Consider the following 26,017-nt stretch of genomic DNA (forward strand, 5'->3'; position numbering starts at 1 on the left):
CCTTCTACAACTTGGTGTCTGAGAGGTTTTGTCTCCGGCTGGTCATGCTACATTTCTTGGTTCCCTGACCGGGAAACGAGGCAGACAAAACCTGGGTAGTTAAGGGGCTACCCGAGGCAGCCCCTTAGGCGGCTTAGGCCTGCTGTGTGGAGCATCCCTGCAGGGGACTCCAGCCAGCCTGAGTGAAGCCATCCGAAGAGCGATCCCAGGTAGAGAATTGCCCCGGTGGAACGCCTCGCCAGAGCAGTGCGTAGCAGGCCCCTGCGGAGGATTAACACAGTGGCTGAACACCAGGAAGGAACTGGCACTTGGAGTCCAGACATCTGAAATTTAGTAAGACTAGTCTTTAGAACTTGCCCCACTCCATCTGAGTGGAAGCGTGGCCTGATCACCCAGGGTGTGCCTGCATTGGCACTTTTGTTCTGGTTTTGACTTGACTTGAATTGCTGGACACTTTGGTTTTAGTTTTGACTTGGCTTGAATTTTTTGGTACACGGATTTTGAATTTCGTGATTTTGGTTTGGTATAAACAGTAAAAGTGTGGGTGTGCCCTCTTTACCCGTTCTTTGTCTTGTGGTGAGTGTGTGTAGTGTGAGCGTGGTATTTTGTCTCAAAAAAAAAAAAAATAGGTCAGGTGCAAAGTAAGCCCACCCCACTGGGAACTATGTTAAAGAATTTCAAGAAAAGATTTTAGGGAGACTATGGAGTCACTATGACTCCAGGAAAACTTAGGACTTTGTGTGACATAGACTGGCCAGCATTAGAGGTGGGTTGGCCATCAGAAGGAAGCCTAGACAGGTCCTTTGTTTCAAAAGTATGACACAAGTTAACCTGTAAGCCAAGGCACCCAGACCAATTTCCGTACATAGACAGTTACAGCTGGTTTTAGACCCCCTTCCTCCCCACAGTAGTTAAGAGAACAGCAGCATAAGCGGCTGGCAGAGGCAAGGAAAGACCAGCAGAGAGAAAAAGAGACCATCTATACCAATTCTAAGTTAATTTAGACTAAACAAGGTCTTATTAATAGCAAAAGATAATTGAAATCCCAAACTTACAAGGTTTTCAACAAAGTGAAGTTTGCTAAAAGTTAACAGTGTAACATGTATTATGGTAACTTCTAATCTTGTAGCCTTAGACAGTCTAGTCCAAAGACATAAAGAAAGTTTGCTTTAAAAAAAAAAAAGGAATAGTTATCTTCAAAAAATAAAGAGAAAAAAAAGGGGGGAGGCAGAATTTATGTAAAGAGTGTTATATGGTAAATTCTTGTCCTGAAATAAATTAACTGCTTGTTTAAAGAAAAAAATCTTTGTAATAAGTCAGAAAGTTGAGACATGTTGAAAAATTGTGTGCGAAAGTCGTGAAAGAAAAAATGTTATAAAAAATTATGCAAAAAATGTTGTATAATTTAAAAGTAATAAGGCCTCCTGAGTACTGTTTAAAAAAACAGTTTATGTGCAAAGTGTATAAGAAAAGTAAAATGTACCTTTAGTAAAAAGATTATAAAGGGGCATAAAAACGTGGATTTTTACCTACATTAAAAGGTTAAAAAAATATTGTTTTAAAAGTTTTAAAACGTTAATTGTAAAGAAAATTCTGTGTGTAAACATATTAGCTAAAGTTAAAAAGGTATCATCCAATTTTTCTGTGAACTAGACATTAAAGTAAAAATGCAACAGGTTTTTCTTAAAGCATCAACCTGCTCTTTAACAAAAATTATAAAAAGTTAAAAAGAGTCTATAAAATCTTACCTTATGGTCAAACATAAAAAATTAGATAAATATGTCTACAAGGTTTTATTAAAATTAAGTTTAACATTAATAACACCCTAATATAAAAGTAAAATTTAACTTACGTGGTATAAAAATCATACAAGAAGCATTATTAAATATAAAATAGTGTTTAACTTTCTTTGGTCTAAAAACTAATAAAAAATAGATGCTAAAAGAAACATTCATTTTACTAGAGGATCATAGAAGTTAAAGACTTAAAACAAACTTTGGCAATTAAGACGGCATACCAAGATGCAAATGCCTGGTTGAAATAGATCAAATATTCCATCTGCACGTTATAAAAAGCAATTGTTATGCTTGTGCACATGGCAGGCCAGAGGCCCCGATTGTCCCCCTTCCACTAAGGTGGTCCTCCAGTCCACCAGGCGTGGGCTGCATGGTAGCTCTTTTCCAGGATTCTACAGCCTAGAGTAATAAGTCATGCCAAGCTCTCTCTGCTATATCCCGAAGTCCCTGCAGGTCAGCCCCCAAAGGCCATCCAGCTTCCGTCTCCCAACACTAAGTTCACTTCGTGTCTCTCATGGCAGGGAGGAGACTTATTAGCATTCCTTAGAGACCTGAAGGGATGCAGTGAGCTTAAGAATTTTCAACCAGTCAGCCCTTGTTCCTCCCCGAGCAAATGTGTGGTGGTATTCTGGTGGACCTTTACTGGGCACTCTGCCGCATAACTAGAGTGGCACTTGTGCTTTAGTCCACTTGGCTATCCCTTTCACCCTGGCATTTCATCAACCAGAGGAAAAACAAAAAATAAGACATCGTAAAGTGAGAGAAGCCCTTATAGGTCTTTCAACTCTCACATCTATTTAGATGCAATTGGAGCCCCACAAGAAATACAGATCAATTTAAAGCTTGAAATCAAATAGTTACAGGATTTAAGTCAATATTTTAGTAGATGACAGTCAATAAAAATGTAAATTAGATAAACTACATCTATTACAACCAACAGCAATGAGCTTTTCATGAGTTAAAAAGAAAAACTCATGTCGGCCCCCGCCATGAGGCTACCTGACCTGAAAAAACTCTTTACACTCTATGTGTCAAAAAGAGAAAAAATGGCAGTTGGAGTTTTAACCCAGACTGTAAGGCCCTGGCCAAGGCCAGTGGCCTATCTCTCAAAACAACTAGACAGCGTTTCCAAAGGCTGGCCCCCATGTCCAATGGCCCTGGTAGCAACAGCCCTGTTAGCACAAGAAGCAGATAAGCTAACTCTTAGACAAAACCTAAACATAAAGTCCCCCCATGCTGTGGTGACTTTAATAAATACCAAAGGACACCATTAGCTAATGAATGCTAGACTAACTAGATACCAAAGCTTGCTCTGTGAAAATCCCCGCATAACCACTGAAGTTTGCAACACCCTAACCCCGCCATCTTACTCCTGGAATCAGAGAGACCAGTTAAACATAAACTGAGTAGAGGTGTTAGACTTAGTTTATTCTAGTAGGCCCAACCTCCGAGACCACTGTTTAACATCAGTAGACTAGGAGCTGTACGTGGATAGGAGCAGCTTCGCCAACCCCTGCAAAGTGACTCTGAAGAAGGTGACAAGCCCTGCTCCAGTCACACCCGGAAGGTGACTAGTCCATGCACGGCCGAAGCGTGAGGAAACTCATCACAGGACTCATTTTCCTTAAAATTTAGACTTGTACAGTAAGGACTTCAACTGACCTTCCTCAGACTGAGGGCTGTTCCCAGTATATACATCAAGTCACTGAGGTAAGACAAAAGATTGCTACAGTCCTATTATTTTATAGTTATTATAAATGCCTAGGAACTCCAAAGGAAACCTGTTTGTATAATGACACCCAGTACAAAGTATATAATCCAGGAAGTGACCAGCCCGATGTGTGCTATGACTCCTTTGAACCTCCCATGATCACAGTCTTTGAAGTAAGACTAAGAACTGGTCATTCTGTAAGTGACACAAGTAAAGTAATAGCTAGAACAGAAGAAAGAAAGGTCCCCAAAAATGTAACCTTAAAATTTGACGCCTGTGCCACTATTAATAATAAACAGCATAGGATAGGATGCGGTTCTCTAGATTAGAAACAAAGTTACACAGCAGAAAATAAGTACATCTGTCAAGAATCATATTTATGTAAGATGTGTCAATACTAGTCTTGTGTCATTTAGGCTACTTAAAAAGAAGATAAAAAAGATCCTGTTTAGCTCCAAAAAGGAAAAGGCAGCCCCTCCTGCACGAGTGGAAGCTGCAACCCTTTAGAATTAGTAATCACAAACCCCTCAGACCCAAAATGAAATAAAGAAAAATACGTATCATTAGGCATTGATGAAAAAGGACTAGATCCTAGCATAAACATCCTAATAAAAAAGGAAGTTCAAAGATGCTCTCCAGAACCAGTATTTCAGACTTTCTGTGATGAACTAAATGTGCCAGTACCTGAGATTCCAGGAAAAACTAAATTTTTTTTTTTTGCAATTAGCCGAGCATGTAGCCCAGTCTCTAAATGTCACTTCATGTTACGTTTGTGGAGAAACTGTAGTAAGAGATCAATGGCATAAGAAGCCCGAGAATTAGTGCCTACAGACCCAGTTCCTGATGAATTCCCGGCCCAAAAGAATCACCCTGATCATTTCTAGGTTCTAAAAGTCTCAATTATTAGACAATATTACATAGCTAGAAAAAGGAAAGAATTCACTCATTCTGTAGGATGACTTAGTTGCCTAAGACAAAAACCATATTAATAGTACCACACACACACACACACACACAAAAAAAAAAAAACAGTTACATGATAAAGTTCCAGTTACACAGAAAGAGATCCATTCAGTAAATTTCCAAAGTTGCAGACTGTTTAGGCCCACCCAGAATCCCACCAGGACTGGACGGCCCCCACCAGGTTATATTGGATATATAGACACAGAGCTTCTGCTAAGCTGCCTGATCAGTGGACAGGTAGCTGCGTAATTGCACCATTAAGCCATCTTTCTTCTTACTGCCCATAAATCAGGTGAACTTCTAGGCTTCCCAGTCTATGCTTCCCGCGGAAAACGAAGCATAGCCATAAGTAATTGAAAAGATGACGAATGACCTCCTTAAAAAAAAAAATTATACAATACTATAAGCCTGCCACTTAGGCACAAGATGGCTCATAAGGATATCGAACCCCCATCTACATGCTCAACCGAATCATACGGTTACAAGCTGTTTTAAAAATTATTACTAATAAAACCGGTCAAGCCTTGACTGTTCTTGCCCGGCAAGAGACTCTGAAGAGAAATGCTATCTATCAAAATAGACCAGCTCTTGACTACTTGCTAGCAGCTGAATTTAACCTTACTAATTGTTGTCTAAACATAAATAATCAAAGGCAAGTAGTTAAAGACATAGTTAAAAATATGACAAAACTGACACATGTGCCCGTAAAAGTGTAGCACGGATTCGACCCTGAAGCCATGTTTAAAAGGTATTTCCCAGCACTAAGAGGATTTAAAACTCTTATAATAGGAGTTATAATAGTAATAGAAACCTGCTTACTGCTCCCTTGTTGGCTACCTGTACTTCTTTAAATGATAAAAAAGCTTCATCGCTACCTTAGTTCACCAAAATGCTTCAGCACAAGTGTACTATATAAATCACTATCAAACTATTGCACAAAAAGACATAAGTAGCAAAAATAAAAGTGAGAACTCCCACTAATAAAAAGTAAGAGTCTCAAAAGGAGGAAATGAGGGAAGAGAGAAACCTTCTCATATTGTTTTATACTCAGTACCTGTTTTAAGAAAAAAAGAAAAAACAACAAGGAAGTAAAACCAAAGACAGGCAGCCCGGCACCAGGCCCCAGGCCTGGCCTGCCTGGCCTAAACCCAGTAGTTAAAAATCAACTCCTGACTTAGAATCCGATGTTACCCACAGATTTCAGGCATTGTATAAAAGAACATTGTGGAACTCCCTGCTCTGTTCTGTTTCATTCTGACTACCAGTGCACGAAACCCCTGTCACTTATCCCCTAGATTGCTCAATCAATCACGACCCTTTCATGTGAAATCTTCAGAGTTGTAAGCCCTTAAAAAGGACAGAAATTGTGCACTCGAGGAGCTCAGATTTTAAGGCAGTAGCTTGCCAATGCTCCCAGCTGAATAAAGCCCTTCTTTCTACAACTCGGTGTCTCAGAGGTTTTCTCTGCGGCTTGTCCTGCTACAGCTCATGCCTGTAATCTCAGCATTTTGGGAGGCGAAGGCGGGTGGATCACGAGGTCTGGAGTCTAAGACCAGCCTGACCAAGAGGGTGAAACCCCATCTCTACTAAAAATACAAAAAAATAAGCTGGGTGTGGTGGCAGGTGCCTGTAATCCCAGCTACTTGGGAGGCTGAGGCAGGAGAATTTCTTGAACCTGGGAGGCAGAGGTTGCACTGAGCAGAGATCACACCACTGCACTCCAGCCTGGGCAAGAGAGTGAGACTCTGTCTCAAAAAAAAAAAAAAAAAAAAAAGCAAGCAAAAATCATCCAACCTTCATATGTCTGTTTTTCCACCTCTAAAATGGAGATGATTCTATCTTCCTTGCAGAGTTTTGATTAAATGAAATAAAGGGTTTTTTAGAAATATACAATGCTTGTTGTTTGGTAGGTTAGTAGGTTACAATAAGATGATTACTTAATTGCCTTGTTAAATATACACATCTAAGTCTAAACCAGCATCTGTACTTATCAGAAAGCTGGATTTTTCCAGAGTGAAATAACTTCTGTAAATACAAAATTTAGGCCATTGTTTCTCTCTCCCACTTCAAATTATGCTGAGAGGTCCTAGAGTCCTCAGAGGTGTCTCAAGGTATGAGAAAACCCAAGTTGGTAAATAAATGTAAGCCCTCTCACCATTTTCATCTGTGTATTAAGGTACCATGGAAGACTGAACTTCTAAAATGTGGTTCTCTAAAAAAAACGATGCTTAAGACCATTGACATCCTTTCTTATTCTATGATTTCTATTCTCATTCTAAGATGTTGGCATGTGCCCAAAGTGAGCTCTGGATTTTTCCCTGCCATTCCAATACCTGTAGGTCTCTGGTAGTTCTTAGGCCCTTCTGTCCATATGGGTTAAGGCAGCATGATATTCCTCAACTCCAAATTGTAATCATTTATTTGTTTGTTCAGCAATTCCATATTTATCTTTGGCCAGGGTGTACAGAAAACAGTGCAGTCTGTGTTCACAAGTCTATTCTCATGCTGCTAATAAAGACATACCCAAGACTGGGTAATTTATAAAGACAAAGAGGTTTATTGGACTCGCAGTTCCATGTGGCCGGGGAAGCCTCACAATCATGGCAGAAGGCAAAAGGCACATCTTACATGGCATCAGACAAGAGAGAAATGAGAGCCAAGTGAAAGGGGAAACCCCTTATAAAATCGTCAGATCTCATGAGACTTATTCGCTACCACGACAGCAGTATGGGGGAAACTGCCCTTATGATTCAATTATCTCCCACCGGGTCCCTCCCACAACAAGTGGGAATTATGGGAGATACAATTCAAGATGAGATTTGGGTGGGGACACGGCCAAACCATATCAGTCAGGGCTTACAGGATACACTGCAAAAGAGATGTGCACAGAAAGTTTATTAGGCCTGCCCTTGAGATCAAACCATAGTGGAGTATAAAATTGGATTGGCAGAGGGAGACGTTCACCTGAGATGCTAATGCAAAAAAATGCCTTAGTAAATCTTGTGATAAGTTCTGGAAATAAGATGCTCCTTTAAAATTATCTGGCCTTGAGTCCAGGGAACCAGACTTTTTTTTTTTTTTTTTTTTTTTTTTTGAGATGGAGCCTTGCTGTGTTGCCCAGGCTGGAGTGCAGTGGCGCGATCTCGGCTCCCTGCAAGCTCCGCCTCCCGAGTTCACACCATTCTCCAGCCTCAGCCTCCCGAGTAGCTGGGACTACAGGCACCTGCTACCATGCCTCACTAGTTTTGTTTTTGTATTTTTAGTAGAGATGGGGTTTCACCGTGTTAGCCAGGATGGTCTCGATCTCCTGACCTCATGATCTGCCCGCCTCGGCCTCCCAAAGGGCTGGGATTACAGGCGTGAGCCACCACGCCCGGCTAGGGAACCAGACTTTTATACCCTCACATTGTCCAGTTATTGCCCAAGGATGGGGATGTAGGAAGGGAATGCATGATCTTGGATGAGGCATTCTCTGCCGAGGGCAATTCCCAGAAAGGATTGTGCTCAGAACCAGAGCCTACACTCCCAGCAGCTGGGGAAATGAGTCCCTGAGTCCAGAAGAGGATCTAGGTGGTGCACATAGCCTCCACTATAGTTCACCTTTCACTGCTCAGTGATAAGCTCTGGAAATATCTCCTCCAGATTAGGATTGGTCTCTTCCTGGGAAACCTGAAGAAGATTAGTGGGTTAAGTATACACCCTGCCATTACAGCTGGTCTCAGCCACAGCTGATGTCCTCCTCTCCTACCCATTCTAGATTTCCCTCACCCTCAGCTAGCACCTCTACTGCCCTTGATGGCTTACACAGGCCCTAATATCTGAGAGGGTCTAAGCCCTTGGTCACTTTGCCTTTCTATGACTGGAAGCTACACTTGTTTATTTACTGTCAAAACTGGACAAGCATGTACTAAAAGATCCATCACAAATAACCTGGGAGCCAAATGTATTCTTCCTTGGCCCTATCTCCTCCTTGAGACTAGAGTCAAGTATCCCTGCTGTATAACTTCTTTCCTTAACTACTGGTCTCTTGACAAGATAAGCTCAAAGTGACTAGGTGGAAGCTATAGTGTAAAGGTGAATGGGTCTCTTCCTGTGTCTCTGGTGGATGTATTCCCCTCCTGCAAATGGGAACCTCTAAACATCCAGGTCTCAGAGTTGGCAAGGATGAGAAACACAAATCCCCCAAGTGGGTCACTGGGAATGATGGTGAGACACTTATTTCCACACTTAGTTCCATGAAGGGCAACCTATTATTATCTATTGCTGTGTAGCATATTACCCCAAAACTTAGTAGCTTAAGACAGCATGTATTTCTTTCTTTTTTGTGTCTGTGTTTGTTTGTAGACACAGGGTATATCAATGTTGCCCAGTCTGGTCTCCAACTCTTGGCCTCAAGTGATCCTCCCTCCTCAGCCTCCCAAAGTGCTGGGATTATAGGCATGAGCCACTGCACCCGGCCAACAAGTATTTGTTATTGCACAGTTCCTATGGGTCAGGAATGCAGGTGCAGCTTAACTAGATCCCTGTGGCTCAAGATCTTTCATGAATTTGCTGTCAGGTTGTTTGACCAAGACTGCAGTCGCATTGTAAGGCTCAAATGAGAGAAAATTATTTTCCAAGATCACTCACATGGTTGTTAGTAGGCCTCAGCCCCCCTTCACATGGGTCTCTCCACAGGGATGCCTCACGTTATGACATCTGGCTTCCAAGCAAGCAAGCAAGCCAAAAGACAGTGAAAAAGAAAGCATCTAAAACAAGTCTTATAATTTAGTGTTAGAAGGGACAGCCTATCACTTCTACCATATTCTGTTTATTATAAGTCAGTCAATAAGTTCACACTCAAGGAGCAGAGATTACACAAAGATGTGAATAACAGGAGTCAGGGATCATTGAGTCTCATCTTAGAGGCTGCCTGTCCCACCATGTTTGCAGGGTATCATCTCCAAGTTGGTACCTCAATTGTATCTTCAAAGGTCATTCCATTATGCTATCAGACTGGCAGCTTCTAGATGTTACAGAGTGTGATAATACCACTAGATACCCATGCTTAGTATCTGTCTTAGTCTGTTTTATGTTGCTAAGGCAGAATACCACAGACTGGATAATTTATAAAGAAAACTTTATTTAGAGTTCCGGAGGCTGGGAAGTCCAGGAGCATGGTGCCAGCATTTGAAGAGGGCTTTCTTGCTGAGTCATAACATGGCAGAAGGACAAGTGAGCATGAGAAAGAGGAAGAGAGAGAGAGAGAGAGCTGCTTGTGTAACAAGCCCACTCTTGCGATAAGTAACCCATTTCTGCAACAATGACATTGATCCATTCACCTCTTAATCACCTCTTAAAGTCCCTACCTCTCAACACTGTTGCATTAGGGATTACATTTCCAATGCATGAATTCTGTGGGGACACATTCAAACCATAGCATTCACTCACTGCCAAATCACCTTTGATGTAATGTGGGTACCTTGGTCTAATGAGATATTATGCAGGATCCCATGAAGGTAAAACAAACACTTTAAGCCCTCTGATAGTGGTGCTAGTTTAGGTCTTGCCCTATTTTATATACAATACATGTCAATTCTAGTCATCCAGTGGTTGGGTGGTTTTCCAGTTGTTTTCCTTAGAAGCCTCTGACCAATCATCCAAGCCATTTACCATCATTCATGAGTTTGTATGTATTCTTCTCTTGGGCCACTTCTCTTTCCACACAAAGTAGATGATCAAATGCATTGCCTGAAACTGCCCACTGGGACCAATTTCCCTTGCTGCTATCATTTAGGGCCACCCTGAGAAGAGCTGCAGAGCAGCAGTTTTGCAATTCCTGCTTGCACTTACCTACTGAATTGACAAAACCAAACTTGAGGGTTTTCTTTTTTTCTCTTTAAGCTGACTATAAGAGACTCCTTGGACAAACATAGGGATAAATTCAGGGAGAGGTGCTGGTGCAATATTAGTGAATAATATGGGGGTCTGGGCTACCTGCTTGTTCCCTTAGGCCCTACTTGTGCACAATTCTCAACGTACCACTTCCATCTTGTAGATTGCTGCTGGGCCTGCTCAAACTCATGACTTTCAGGATCTAATAGAACTACTCGAAATGGGCTATTTCAAGTAGTTCTATTACTCATTTGGTCACCTCCCAGGAACTTTGTGTAAAACTTCATTGCAGATGAACTTACATTGTAATTCTCCTATTGGAGCTTGCCACAAAACATCTTTGTGAGTCACCAATACCTCTTACCAGAAGGTCTTCTGCTTAGTATCAACCAAGTGGCTGTGGGGCCACTTGCCCCACTGCCTGGACCTGCAGGGTCCTTTCCTGCTCTAATATCTGCTCAAAGTCAGCAGACTTTCATGTTAGTCAGTATATGGGTTGCAGCAGTATTCCTAAGTATGGAATATGCTACCTCAGCATCCAAAGAGGCCTACCAGGCATTGTGCTTCTTTCTTAGTGGTGGGAGGTACAAGGTGCAATATTTTGTCCTTTAATTTGCAGGGGATGGAAAATCATGCCCCAGACCTCTGGATCCCTAAAAAAAAATCTGACTGATGGGTAAACTGACATTAATCTACCCTAACAAATATATTACTTCTGTCTCAGCAATTACAATTACAGCTACAACTTGGTTGAATTCATGGTAGTCTTCAGACTGGTTTTTGTAGGGGCCAGAGAAATAAATTCAACAGGGATATTATGAGAACTGCTGGCCCTGTACCCTTTAGGTTTCTTTTCTTTTCTTTTCTTTTCTTTGAGATGGAGTCTCGTTCTATAGCCCAGGCTGGAGTGCAGTGCAGTGGTGCAATCTCGGCTCACTGCAACCTCTGTCTCCCAGATTCAAGCGATTCTCCTGCCTCACAGCCCCCTGAGTAGCTGGGGTTACAGGCATCTGCCACCATGCCTGGCTAATTTTTGTATTTTTAGTAGAGACGGGGTTTCATCATGTTGGCCCGGCTGGTCTCGAACTCCTGACCTCAGATGATCCAACTGCCTAGGACTCCCAAAGTGCTGGGATTACAGGTGTGAGCCACTGCGCCTGGCCTGTACCCTCTAGGTTTCTAAGGGTGTCACCAATCAGGGTTATTCCTACCCATCACATGACATTTTTTTTACTACATTGACTTGGGGGGAAGCAGAAAGACTTTCACTTAGTAACTTAGCATTTCCCACTACAATAATTCCTACCTCAGATCAAAAACTAATGTGTGTCCAGGCATGGTGGCTCATGCCTATAATCCCAGCACTTTGGGAGGCCGAGGTGGGTGGATCACTTGAGGTCAGGAGTTCGAGACCAGCCTGACCAACACGGTGAAACACCATCTCTACTAAAAATACAAAAAAAAATTAGCCGGCCGTGGTGGCGCATGCCTGTAATCCCAGCTACTTGGGAGGCTGAGGCAGGAGAATTGCTTGAACCTGGGAGGCGGAGGTTGCAGTGAGCCAATATCGTGCCATTGCACTCCAACCTGGGCGACAAGAGTGAAACTCCATCTCAAAAAAAACAAAACAAAACAACAACAAAAAACCTATTGTGGGAGTACTATCAATTTCCAAATATGTCCATTCCAATTATACATTCAAAGAGCAAGGAAATGACCACTTGGTAGGACATGGACCAAGTGGGCTCACTGTGAGTTAGAGCTGGGCCAGAACTCACTCTATTTATTTCTAGCCTTCATGTGTCTTTAACTCTGATGGAGGGTCCATGTTTACACTTTGAATACCAGTGTCATCTTGAATGTTGTATTCCACAATCTTCAAAATGTGTGGATATTCCTCTGTCTCCAGTGTATGGTTCCTTGACTAAATGTCCCTAGATCTCTGTGGGAAATCATTACTATACACTTGCCATGGTATTATAAGATCCTTCCTCCTGAGGACCCGATTTATCTTTTACTCAGTGGGTTCTGAGTCCAGAAACTGAACAAGGGATGGTGACCCTAGATATTCATCTGGTTGCACAAAGGGAGGTCCCAAGGAAAACATGTGTTGCCTTACAAGGTAGAAGCCTCTGCAGCATCTTCAAGCCAAGTTGAGTTCTAGTCTCCAACAGAGAGGACCAAACCATTTCTGCAGGCCTGGAGGGTTCAGGAGGATCTGGGTTTTGAGGTTTCCAAGTATGTTAGCCCATTAAAGACTTCATTTCAGTCTCAGGATCTCACTTTCTCTTGGCTTGCTGGGACTGAGAATTCAACATTCTCTGTGATGCATTTTTTTTTTGTTTTTGGCAAGACAGGGTCTTGCTCTGTCACCCAGGTTGGAGTGCAGTGGCGTGATCATAGCTTGCTGCAACCTTGAACTCCTGGGCTCAAGTGATCCTCCCACCTCAGCTTCCTGAGTAGCTGGGACTGCAGGCACATGCCATCACACCTGGCTAACTTTTTAATTTTTTGTAGCTATAGGGTCTCACTATGTTGCCCCGGTTGGTCTTGAACTCCTGAGCTCAAGCAATCCTCCCAAAGTGCTAGGATTAGAGGTGTGAGCCACCACACCTAAATCCTCAGCCTTATCCTCAGCTTTTACTGCCCTTTGGCTGTGGGAAATGAAAGCCTCTTTATATGCTGCCAAAGAGGCCTCTGACTTTATCACTTCACCTGCAATGGCTGATTGGCAGTCCAGTCTTTCATCTTCTTTCTCAAATTCATCAATAGCACCCAGGAAGAGGCATTGTCCTTATAATTAGTAGTTCCCCTGAATCTCTCAAAATCTTGAGATAATGCACCTGCCAATTTATTCCCTTCCAACAGTATCCCCTCCCAATTCAACACCAGGCAAAAATTTAACAATTGTGCCATTACAGTTTGCCAAGGGATATTAATGTTCCATTACTGCCAGTTATGAGGTCCACATTGCCTGGTAATCCAGTGCCAAAAGTCTTTTTAGAGTTTAATTCCTCTATCCCCTACTGATACAAATGGTGTTAGGTCAAGTTTCTAACAGAATACTGGGAAAAGACACTGAAATCAAGATTTATGTGCAGAAAGTTCATTGAGGGAGTGCCCTCTGCATCAATATCTGTGGGAGAATTAAGTAAGTAGGTTTGGGCAGAGGGATCAGTTGAACTGTGGCACAGTCACAATAAAGGCCTCAGCTGACCCTACTGGCACCTCTGCAGCTGGGGATGAACCTTTAGAGTCATCCCAAGTTGAAGCAAGGGGGCTGAGCCTTCATATCCCCAGTTGTGGGCAAGTCATTTGTTGCAGGCTAGCCTTTATCTCTTAGGAGAGGGGCAGAAACGTGGCTAAGGCAACTCTCTTCAGCTGAGAGCAATGCCTGGAGAGGCACTCAGCTGAGAGTCATCACCACCAACACTCCCAGCAGTGGGGGAACAACTGCCTCAGCTGGAAAGGGGATGTGGATGGGAGCACCATAGCATCCACTGCAACATGCATTATTTTAGGTGTTGAGATACGGCAGTGAACGTGGTAGACAAAAATTTGTGCTTTTTTTCTACATTTTAGACGGAGTAGTCAAGGAAGGCCTCGCTGTGCAGACAACACTGAGCAAAGACTTGAAGGAAGAAAGGGAACAAGATATCAAGATATTTGGGAAAAGCATATTCCAGGCAGAGGTCTGAGCAAATGCAAAGACCTGACCTGAAGGGAGAATATCTCTGGGTGTTCAAGGAACAGTAAGGAGGCCAGATGGTTGAAACCAGCTGAGAAAAAGGTGAGTAGTAGGAGCTGACAGATCAAAGAAATCAGGGTGGGGGGAAGAAGGCAGATTGTATCAGACCTTGAAGGCCATTGTAAGGTTTTTGGCTTTTACTCTGTGAAATAAAAAGCCATGGCGAGTTTGGAGCAGAGTGGTAACATGACATGTTTTTAAAAGAGTGCTCTGGCTGCGTGTTGCAGATAGATTGAAAGAGTGACCAGGATGAAAGCAGGGGACCAGATAGGCTTAATCTATGCCAAAGATAACGGTGAGTTGGACCAGGATGGTAACAGTGGAGGTGATAAGAAGTGGCTGGATTCTAAGTATAACTGAAGAGTAGAGCTGAAAATCCACTGCTGATGGATTGAATGTTAGTTTGAGAGAGAGTGAAAGAGATAAGACAAAGATGACTTCTAGATTTGGCGCTTGTGCTGCTGAAAGTGAGGGAAGAGAGAGTCCCTCTCATATTGTTTTATACTCAGTACCTGTTTTAAGAAAAAACAACAAGGAAGTAAAATCAAAGACAGGCAGCCCGGTGCCAGGCCTGAAACCAGGCCTGGGCCTGCCTGGCCTAAACCCAGTAGTTAAAAATCAACTCATAACTTAGAAACCGATGTTATTCATAGATTCTAGACATTGTATAGAAGAACATTGTGAAACTCCCTGCCCTGTTCTGTTTCTCTCTGACCACCGGTGCATGCAGCCCCTGTCACGTACCGCCTGCTTGCTCAAATCAATCACGACCTTTTCATGTGAAATCTTTAGTGATGTGAGCCCTTAAAAGGGACAGAAGTTGTGCATTCGGGGAGCTCGGATTTTAAGGCAGTAGCTTGCCGATGCTCCCAGCTGAATAAAGCCCTTCCTTCTACAACTCAGTGTCTGAGAGGTTTTGTCTGTGGCTCGTCCTGCTACAAAAGGATGGGGTTGCCATTAACAGAAATGAGGGGCCAGGCACAGTAGCTCATGCCTGTAATCCCAGGGCTTTGGGAGGCCGAGGCAGGTGGATCACTTGAGGTCAGGAGTTCAAGACCAGCCTGGCCAACGTGGTGAAACCTGTCTCTACTAAAAATACAAAAATTTGCCAGGCATGGTGGCACATGCTTGTAATCCCAGCTACTTGTGAAGCTGAAGCAGGAGAATCGCTTGAACCCCAGAGGCAGAGGTTGCAGTGAGCCAAGATCGTGCCACTGCACTCCAGCCTGGGTGACAAGAGCGAAACTCCATCTCAAAACAAAAAACAAACAAACAAACAAACAAAAAAACAAAGGGCTGGGCGCAGTGGCTCACGCCTGTAATCTCAGCACTTTGGGAAGCCAAGACAGGTGGATCACATGAGGTCAGGAGTTTGAGACCAGCCTGGCCAACATGGCAAAACTCTGTCTCTATTAAAAATACAAAAATTAGCCCAGTGTGGTGGTGCACACCTGTAATCCCAGCTACTGGGGAGGCTGAGGCAGGAGAATCACTTGAACCCAGGGAGGCAGGGGTTGTAGTGAGCCGAGACCATGCCATTGCACTCCAGCCTGGGTGACAGAGTGAGACTCTGTCTCAAATAAATAAATAACAACAACAACAACAAAACAGAGATGAGGGAGACAGCTGCTGGAACAGGTTTGAAGGAGGTGATCAGGAGTTCAGTCTTGGACATGTCGAGTTTACATGTTTATTGTTTATATTGAGGTGTCAAGTCAGCAGCTGATATATTGGTTGAGTTCAGGAGAGAGATCTGGGCTGGAGAGACAGATTGATGAATGTCATATCCTATAGATGGCATTGTAAGGAACATGGCTGTGCTTTGGTCAAGGATAGGCTGAGGTAAACATCCAGAGCGACTCAGTGAGTTTAGAGCACAGGCATATAACTCCACTTGTTATCACAGCCATGTAGCCATAACATGGGAAGGTTCATCATTTGGTTCTAAGCCACTGTTGTCTGTAAAAGGTATAATTGCCCTGCTGACACTGTACAGGCATGCTGGCACCTAGAGAAAGAGAACCAAAGCTGTCCATTTTGCAGACAGACAGCAGGAAGCCAGGGCACAGCATGGCTCAGCTTGTGCCCAGAGAGAGAAAGAGTTAAGCTGCTGACCCTGAGGCAGGGGAGAGCTGGCCACACAGCTGTGTGGGAGCCACTGGACTAAGCAGCTGAGACAGGGCAGACAGTGTGAGAAAGTTCTTGATGAGAGCTGCTGCTGAATAAAATCATCTTTCACCTGCCTATAGCCTCCCAAGTGTTCTTGCTGCTCATCCACCCACTCCCTTCAGACCTCAGCATGGACTGGAACCTGACCCTGAGCATGATAAGTGGTGTAGTTATGAACCTGACACGCGATTAAGTGATGAGACTAGATGCAATTAACAGGGAAATGAGTGTAGAGAATAGAAGAGATTCAAGGGCTGAGGCTTGGATGCTCTGCTGTTATGAGTATAGGAAAATAAGAGGAAACAAGCAGAGGGGTCTGAGAAAGAGTTGCCAGTGACTTTGGACCAAGCGAGAGGGTGGTGACCTGGAAATCAATGAAGACAATGCTTCAAGGAGGAGTGAGTTATTTCCTGTTTCAACTAACTGGTAGAAAACATACAACCTTGATAGCCAGTTTGGTGACTGAGTGATACGAGACATGTTTTTTAAAGTGGATTTGACAGAGAATTGAAGGAAAGGAATTGGAGGCAGTGAATATAGACAAATCTTTCACAAGCAATTTTTGTGTCTTTGTTTTGTGGTGGGGAAAAGTGGGAACAAGAGAAGGTTTTAAGATGGGAGAAATAACATGTTTGTTCACTGATGAGAAAGATCGAACAGAGAGGGATAATTTGATAATAAAGAGACGGGAGAATTGTTCAAACGAAGACCTCGAGTAGATGAGAGGGAATGGAATCTAGTGCTGGAGTGGAAGGGTTGGCCCCTGAAAAGAGTGCCAATAGTTCATCTAGAGTAAGGTGAGAGGAGACAGAGAACACGGGCACAAAGGCTGGAAGGTGGGTAGGTGTGGTGAATGTGGAATTCTCTTATGATTGCTTCCATTGTCCTCAGCTAAGAATGAGAATTGGGAAGATGTGTTGGAGGTTTGAGGACAGAAGAGAAGGTATCTAGGCCTAGGATGAGCACACACTTACAGCTGCAGTCATGAATTTAAAGGAAGACTGGCTATCAGGGTTGTATGTTTTCCATTAGCCACATACAGCTGCACAGGTGCAGGTGCTGAGTGGGTAGAGAAGTGAATGTCACCTGGGTTGGCACTCAACCAACCAAGTTCAGAGACTCAAGAGCTGGTCAAGGGAGCTGATAGTACACTTGATGGACTCATAACCCCACCTTAGTGCTGACTCTCCTTTATCTCATATATGCATATATGTCTAGAAAAAATTATATTGGCCTTAGACATTTTGCAGAGACTGAGAATAACCGAGTCACATTCGTGATAGCGAGCTAGTGCAATAGCTTTGCTGTTGTGGGGATGACAAGGTAATCTAGTTCCTACATGTGCCTTTGGGGTTCCAGTTCAATTCTTCCTGTAAGGCCCATGAGGGTCACCCATCCTATTCTTTCAAGAGGATCACTATCTCCTTTTTGTTTGTTTGTTTGTTTGTTTGTTTGTTTTTTGAGATGGTGTCTTGCTCTGTCACCCAGGCTGGAGTGCAGTGGCATGATCTCAGCTCACTGCAACCTCCGCCTCCTGGGTTCAAGCAATTCTCCTGTCTCTGCCTCCCGAGTAGCTGGGATTACAGGTGTGGGCCACCACGCCCAGATAATTTTTGTATTTTTAGTAGAGACGGGGTTTCACCATGTTGGCCAGGCTGGTCTCAAACTCCTGACCTTGGGTGATCTGCCCGCCTTGGCCTCTCAAAGTTCGGAGATTACAGGCATGAACCACCATGTCTGGACTCACTATCTCCTTTTTTGCCATGAGTATCCCCCTTTTTTGACATGAGTATCTTTTGACATGAGTATCCTCACAACCAGCCCCTATCGTTTGAGATAATTTCAAACTATTTTTCAAGTAAGAATCTAAGAGAGCTTTTGGTGCCCCCAATTTGTTTTAAAATTAGTAACGACATCTTGTAGTTGGATATTTTTCTATTGCTTCTAAAGTATGCATTTTCTTCCTTTATTTTACCCATATATGTATTTGGTGAGTGGAAAATGTGGTTGTTAAATGTATGGACTTTGGTATCAAGCAGACCTTGTTTTGAATCATAGCTCATTACATCTTATCCTCCCAAATAGCGAATTTCTTCTATTGTGGTTTCATTATCATCAATGTAAAGAAATAGACTCTTTTATTGTTCAACTGCTTTATTACTAGGACTTCTCCTTGTATGAAATGTAAGCTTCATGTTTAGAGGTCAGGATTCAGGAACATGTTTCAGCTAAGCATGACACATCCTAAAGGATGGCTAGTGTGGGAAATAGTGATTTTTCCTGGATTGTACTGTTGTCAATCACTTTCGACGTATCTGAACTACAACAGACTCCCTGAGGGTTCCTGGCTAAAGCTCAGATTTTGTTTCAAAAGCCATTGAACTAAAACAGCAACAAACAAACACACACAAAACAGATTATTTAAATAAATCAAGGCCGAGCACAGTGGTTCATGCTTGTAATCCCAACATTTTGGGAAGCTAAGATGGACAGATCACTTAAGGTCAGGAGTTCAAGACCAGCCTGGCCAATATGGTTGAACCCCATCTCTACTAAAAATACAAAAATGTGGCAGGCACCTGTGGTCCCAGCTACTCAGGAGGCTGAGGCACATAATCATTTGAACCCGGGAGGTGGAGATTGCAGTGAGCCGACACCGCTGCATTCCAGCCTAGGCAACAGAGCAAGACTCCATCTCAAAAAAAAAAAAAAGAAAAGAAAAGGAAAAGAAATCATTACAGTGGCTGTATATCTTCTGAAATTTGCATACAATAATTGCTTCTGACATATTCAAAATATGTAAGAAGCCCCTCCAACATCAGACTCCAAGTTCTTCAGTTTTGGGATTCAGACTGGCATTTCTTACTCCTCAGCTTGCAGACAGCCTGTGGGACCTTGTGATCATGTGAGTTAATATTTAATAAACTCCCCTTTACATATATATATATATATATAACCTATATATAAAATATATATATATATATCTCCTATTAGTTCTGTCTCTCTAGAGAACCCTAATACAGGAGGACAGGGCTTACCTTCATTCCATTATATGAAGGTGAGGACTGAACTCTGATTTTTATGCTGCCCAAATTCCTATCTAAGGTGTCTGGGGCATCGTGTCCTACAAATCATAAATTCTCATCAGATGGGTTTTATTTAACATTAATCGTGACTTACTCTCCAACCTGACTCTGGCATAATATTATGAGACAAGAAAGAAAATCAAAATATTTTACCCCAAAACATGTTTCTTTGCCATATTTTGAAATGGTCATGCAAAGCTGTTCTTTTTGGGGGCAAATTTGCATCTGTAAAGAATCTCAATTAACATAGCTAGATATTTTTCTTCCAGACCCTCCCAATCCTAAAGAGATTAACTGAGATCTGAATAGGAAACATTTGTCATCTATTGTCTCTAAGGGCAGCCACTATAAGACTTTGAAAGAACTTTGGCCTCCACCATCTTTTATCTTAACCTGAACATTCCCTTTCCATCAATCCCAGGTCCTTAGAAAACTCAACCAATTGTAAAAAAGAAAAATTTTAAATTCACCTGTAGCCTGGAAGCTCCCCCTCCACTGCACTTTGAGTTGTCCTGTCTTTCTGGGCAAACCAATGTATTTCTTTCTTTTTCTTTCTTTTTTTTTTTTTTTTTGAGACGGAGTCTCGTTCTGTTGCCAAGCTGGAGTGCAGTGGCGATCTTGGCTCACTGCAACCTCTGACTCCCGGGTTCAAGCGATTCTCCTGCCTCAGCCTCCCGAGTAGCTGGGATTACAGGCGAGTGCCACCACGCCGGGCTAATTTTTGTATTTTTAGTAGAGACGGGGTTTCACCTTGTTGGCCAGGATGGTCTCGATCTCCTGACCTCGTGATCTGCCCGCCTCGGCCTCCCAAAGTGCTGGGATTACAGGCACGAGCCACCGTGCCCGGCCTACCAATGTATTTCTTAAATGTATTTGACTGATGTCTCATGCCTCTCTAAAATGTATAAAACCAAGCTGCACCCCGACCAACTTGGGCACGTGTTCTCAGGACCTCCTGAGGGCTTTGTCACAGGTCATGGTCACTCATATTTGGTTCAGAATCTCTTCAAATATTTTACAGAGTTTGACTGTTTTCGTTGACAAAGGGAAATAGCTGTATTTATCTACGTATATATAGACCTTGTGTAGACCTTGTTTTTAATCCCAGCTTCATTACACCTTATCTTCCCAAGCAGCAAATTTCTTCTATGGTGGGTTTTTTTTTTTTTTTTTTTGAGACGTAGTCTCACTCTGTCAACCAGGCTAGAGTGCAGTGGCGCGATCTCGGCTCACTGCAAGCTCCGCCTCCCGGGTTCACGCCATTCTCCTGCCTCAGCCTCCTGAGTAGCTGGGACTACAGGCACCCGCCACCACGCCTGGCTAATTTTTTGTATTTTTAGTAGAGACGGGGTTTCGCCGTGTTAGCCAGGATGGTCTCAATCTCCTGACCTCGTGATCCGCCCGCCTCGGCCTCCTAAAGTGTTGGGATTGCAGGCATGAGCCACCGCGCCTGGCCTCTGTTGTGGTTTTATTATCATGTAAAGAAATAGACTGCCGCCTTGAATTCCTGGCCTCAGCCTGGTGGGAGGATCACTTGAGGCCAGGAGTTCAAGGCAGCAGTGAGCTATGATCTCACCACTGCACTTCAGCCTGGGTGACAGAGTGAGACCCTGTCTCAATAATTACAATAGTAATAATACATTTTAAAAATTAAAAAAATGCAAGAAAGGCAAAATTAAGGATTGTTTGCAAACATTTTCTCAACCCTCACAACTGCCCTAGAAGATACTATTACTCCTCTTTTACAAGTAAGAAAACCAAGGCTTCTAGAGGTTAAATTACTTGCCCGAGATCACTCAGATCAAAAGTGGGAGTTGCACAATCAACTCCTTTAATTTCAGAGCTGAAACACCTGCCAGCATAGAAGAAGTGCTGTGAATTATCAGGAAGAGGTGGGATCAGTGATTATTGATGGCACTGGGAGGAGGGGCGTACGTGAATTAGCTTTTTAAAAAGTAGTCAATAAAGAGACTAGGTCACAATGTGTTTACTAGCATCTGAGATAGCGCTTCCCCATTGCTCACATGACAGAAAGCTCTTCCCCTGCTCTGCCCCCAAGACCCATCCTCTCCCTGCGACATCTGTGGAGATTTCTCAAGGACACGGCTCCAGGGGTAATTTGTTTCAGCTGCTGCTTTCTAAGGGCGCAAATCAATCTTATTAACCCAAGTTCCTGAGAGAGACTGACTACAGGAGGTTAAAAGACTAAAGGGGAGGAAGTTGACGTTGGTGGTCCTTTTTTCGCCTTTTCTCTTTTCAAAGAGATGAAGTAGCTGGTATGTGGGTACAGAGTATGTCATAAGGATATTTCTTAGCAAATCCATGAGTTGGTGCGTAAAAGCAGTTATATGCTAAGCTGACCTGGGACTAAAAGGTAAGTCAGTTGGGCATCCTTATAAGAACAAACCTTTCCAGCCAAAAGATCAAGCTGGCGAGCTCTGGCTGTTGCAACTCATGCTCTAGAATGGCAGTCACCACGTGAGTGTGACCTGGTGTCTAGGAATGGGAATTACTCTAATTCCTCTTCTGTTTCTTGGGAGATGACTTGGCTCTGTAATGGAGATAATATAGTCTTTGAAGTCAAACAGACCTAGCTTCAAATTCTAGCTCTGTGACTCCTGAAAAGCTACCTAATTTCTCTACTGCTCAGTTTCCCCATTCGTTGAATGAGGATCATAATACTTACCATGTGGGTTTACGGTGGTTATCAAATAAGATGAAGCAAAAGGGCCAGGCATGGTGGCTCATGCCTGCAATCCCAGCACTTTGGAAGGCCAAGGAGGGCAGATTTCTTGAGCTCATGAGTTTGAGACCAACCTGAGCAACATGGTGAAACCCCATCTCTACAAAAAATACAAAAATTAGCTGGGCATGGTGGCATGCACCTGTAGTCTCAGCTACTTGGGAGGCTGAGACTGCAGTGAACCGAGACAGCTCTGCTACACTCCAGCCTTGGTGACAGAGCCAGACCCTGTTTCAAAAAGAAAAGGGGGTGGGGGGCAACAAAGTAAAAGGACATCCCAAGGTGACCGGCAGTAAATGGGTGGCCGCTATCTCTGTTATCAAAATCAACCCTCCAGTCTCTATGCCATGTGCATATCTGGACAAGTAGCATGGCTCCCAGCTGCAGCCTTATTTATGTCCCTTTCCTGTTCTTTAAGGGGTAAGTGTTCCAGGAAGAAAGCTTTGCACATGTCAGTGAGGTCAAACAGCCCTGTGAGAAAAGGGCTCCTCTGGAATGGCGCCATTAGAGAGGAACCAGCATGAGACAGGGCTGCCGTGCAACCTGGGGAGATTCAGTTCACCTATCTGTGCCTCCATTCCCTCAGTGTTATCTGGGGGTAATGATAGCTGCCCACTGCATGATTGGAATAATCACATTTGTTCTATATAAACAACCAACAAGTACTTTACTCTTAGCCGCCCACTCCTCATAATAGGTATTTGAGGAAATATCTGCCTCTTGACCTTGGGGGGAAGGGGGATGAAGGCCAGGCTGTAGGGAGGACCAACTGAGAGTAAGGCAGTGAATGTTCTCTGCAAACTGCGCCATTCTGGACCTAGCTGGAGCATTCCTGACCCCTGAAGCATGTGTGCCAGCTCTTGTGTTTTGCATTCACAGGTGCAGTAACTTTAAATTCCTCAAATCCCCTGAGTGCAAGGCCATGGCTCAGAAAAGCCTTGCAAACAACAGCATTAATCTCCCCTACAAGGACTTGACCTCCGAGGTAACCAGGCGCCGAGTCACCATGATCACAAGGTACCCAAAATCTTTCCTCTGGATCGCTTGTGGGGTTGGGACGGAGCATAACACTGAGCCCCAGCAAGTGCCTGAAACTGTAGCTGGCACTGGTTTATTTAAATGTATTTAATGCTGCTGCAAGACACATTTCACAGAAAAGGAAACTGCTTTGTCATCCATTGTGGAAAACAGACTTTTCCCACATGGCCCTTCAAGGGGTGATGACACCCATTTGTGTATGTTCACTGCGTGGGTGGTCGTGGCTCTTGATAGAGAGTGGGGAGTGGGGATCACTTTGTTTGGTTTGGTTTTGTTTTTTTGAGACAGGGTCTCGCTCTGTCACCTGGGCTGGAGTTCAGTGGTGCAATCACAGCTCACTGTAGCCTCAGCCTCAAGCTCCTGGGGCTTAAGCAATCCTCCCACCTCAGCCTCCCAAGTAGCTGGGACTACAGCCATGTGCCACCACGTCTGGTTAATTATTATTATTATTATTATTATTATATTGAGACGGAGTCTCTCTCTGTCGCCCAGGCTGGAGCAATCTTGGCTCACTGCAAGCTCCGCCTCCCGGGTTCACGGCATTCTCCCACCTCAGCCTTCTGAGTAGCTGGGACCACAGGCGCCCGCCACGACGCCCGGCTAATATTTTGTGTGTGTGTGTGTTTTTTTTTAGTAGAGACGGGGTTTCACCATTCACAGGATGGTCTAAATCTCCTGACCTTGTGATCTGCCCGCCTCGGCCTCCCAAAGTGCTGGGATTACAGGCGTGAGCGACTGTGCCCGGCCAGTTTTTTTGTATTTTTAATAGAAACAGGGTTTTGCCATGTTGCCCAGGCTGGTCTCAAACTCCTGGGCTCAAGTGGTCCACCTGCCTCAGCATCCCAAGGTGCTGGGATTACAGATGAGAGCCACTGTGCCTGGCCCAAGATGACACCTCTAGCTTGAGCTCTTTGTCGGGTATGTTATGAGATTAAAAATAATAATCTTACTAAATCTGATAAGAAGTTGGTCAAAAAAATCAAAATTATTGATTTGAAATAGAAAATACAGACTTCCATCTAATGTTGTTTACAATGCCCTTTGACCTTAGAGTTTATTGGGATGTAAGATTCCAGCAAATTGATAGGAATTAGGTGCCATTTCTTAGTTACCATATATGGGAATGTCAAATCTTTGTTGATAGTGGTGCACAGCCAATTTGATACCACGGGTTTAGACCGTGAGAGTGGGCATTGTCTGCAGGAAGTGTGGTCCCTGTGCTCTAATGTCCATCCAAGGACGAGATGGCATAATTCTGTGGCCTGTCCTAGCCACCAAACAATTCCCTTCCCATCATCCCACATCCTCTCAGCAACATTAGGGATCAGCTTTGATTGGGAGATGGGAGCAGTGAACTTGTGGCCAGATTGAAATTTAAATTTGGATTCCAGTTCTGCCTTCTACTGGTCACATGATCTGGGTAATCACCTTCTGTCTCAGCTTGCTCAGCTGAAAGATTTAATGTGGGGGCTGAGATTCTACATGTGGTTAGTTTCTAGGTAATTTCTAGTCCCTGGAACATAGTAAATGTTCAGGGAACAATTAAATCTGAACCTGTAAAAGCTTGACAGGCTAGTCCTATGCCCTTGAAGGCAAGGTTTGCCCAGCCCTGAGGAGGATGGGGAGACTCTGGTATACTCCAGCAGAAGGGGAGGCGAACCCCACAGCCTGGGGATGGGGGCAAGTTAGGCCAAAGGGAGCTGTGAAGTGAAACTGAGGCTGGACTGGCCCTGTGAATAGCTGGAATGCAAATGAAACGTTTAGACACAGCCTGTCCCAGGCTGAAATGTACAGAGAGCTGGCCAGTAGGGGATGGAGAAAGCTAATTGATGGGAAGAACTACTGCTCTAATCCTAAGATACCCTTGGAGGATGGGGATGGAGGAGTGAGGGTGCAGACTCTAACTCTGTTGGGTCCATGGCACCAACGGGGACAGCTGAGCTCACTCTGAGGAGAGCTGACTGACAATTAAAGTATATCTCATTTCTGCAAGGTGAGTATGGGTGGAGGAGCTTGGAAAGATGTCCTCTGAAATGTTAACTATTCTTTTTAGATGCTGGCATCTGGGGTATTTCTTTTGTTCCTTCTTTTTTGTTGTTTTGAGACAGGGTCTCACTCTGTCACCCAAGCTAGCGTGCAGTGGTGCAATCATAGCTCACTGTAGCCTCGATCTCCCAGGCTCAAGTGATCCTCCCACCTTGGCCTCCCAAGTAGCTGGGACCACAGGTGCATGCTACCATGCCTGGCTAATTTTTATTTTCTTGTGGAAAGGGGGTCTCCCTATGTTGTCCAGGCTGGTCTTGAACTCCTGGGCTCAAGTGATCCTTCCACCTCAGCCTCCCAAAGTGCTGGGATTACAGGCATGAACCACCATGCCCAGTCTGTTTCCTTTTCCTCTGTTTATTTAAAACCCTATCTTTATTCAAATGGCATTCAATGTGCCTTTCTTCCTAGAAAAGAGATAATTACCCAGAAAAGTGATGAAGCTAAGGAGATGCTCTCCCACTTGGATTTGGAGCAAGCCCCTCCCCCTCACAGGACCTACCTCACAGTACCTCCTGCCCCACCTCCTTCTCCAGCTGAGGATCCCACGGTCTCCTAAGATGTAAAACTTATTTTGAAGTGAATTCTTACACAGAACTCCAGAAAACAGTTTCAGTGGCATTCTTGAGGTTTGTCTTAGAAGACTCTTGAAGATCTTTGTTCTTTCCTATTTTTCTTCACCTAGAACCACCATAGAGCATGGTTTACCCTTGCTAATAGACTTAGTCATTTTTGGTTTTTTAATCCAAGTCTCTGATATGATATGCATATATTTTGATCTTTATGTTATGCTATAGAACTGTTGCTGTAGTCAGTTGTATTTAAATTAATAAACAGTTATCAGGC

The 26,017-nt window shown here is 43.7% G+C and overlaps 1 protein-coding gene across 4 annotated transcripts, besides 1 other annotated feature; it reads left to right on the plus strand.

Moving 5' to 3' along the window:
* On the plus strand, positions 1 to 26,017 carry MYOCOS (myocilin opposite strand). Of its 4 annotated transcripts, XM_047442427.1 has the most exons (4): positions 1 to 333; positions 13,927 to 14,134; positions 22,970 to 23,107; positions 25,583 to 26,017. In XM_047442427.1, the coding sequence occupies exons 3-4, from the start codon at positions 23,013 to 23,015 to the stop codon at positions 25,728 to 25,730; spliced, it is 243 nt and encodes an 80-aa protein (XP_047298383.1). In that variant the 5' UTR covers positions 1 to 333; positions 13,927 to 14,134; positions 22,970 to 23,012; the 3' UTR covers positions 25,731 to 26,017. The 4 variants fall into 4 exon arrangements, with proteins under 4 accessions (XP_047298383.1, XP_047298419.1, NP_001355093.1 ...); XM_047442463.1 differs by lacking the exon at positions 1 to 333 and having other exon boundaries at positions 13,926 to 14,134; NM_001368164.1 differs by lacking the exons at positions 1 to 333; positions 13,927 to 14,134 and adding an exon at positions 18,892 to 19,166.
* Positions 20,364 to 20,564: a silencer, noted in NCBI's record as "peak453 fragment used in MPRA reporter construct". NCBI's record gives its function as "represses an SCP1 promoter by STARR-seq MPRAs in K562 erythroleukemia cells {active_cell/tissue: K562}" and the evidence as "EXISTENCE:reporter gene assay evidence [ECO:0000049][PMID:32103011]".

This window comes from Homo sapiens, chromosome 1, assembly GCF_000001405.40.
Source record: "Homo sapiens chromosome 1, GRCh38.p14 Primary Assembly".
Classification (NCBI taxonomy): domain Eukaryota; kingdom Metazoa; phylum Chordata; class Mammalia; order Primates; family Hominidae; genus Homo; species Homo sapiens.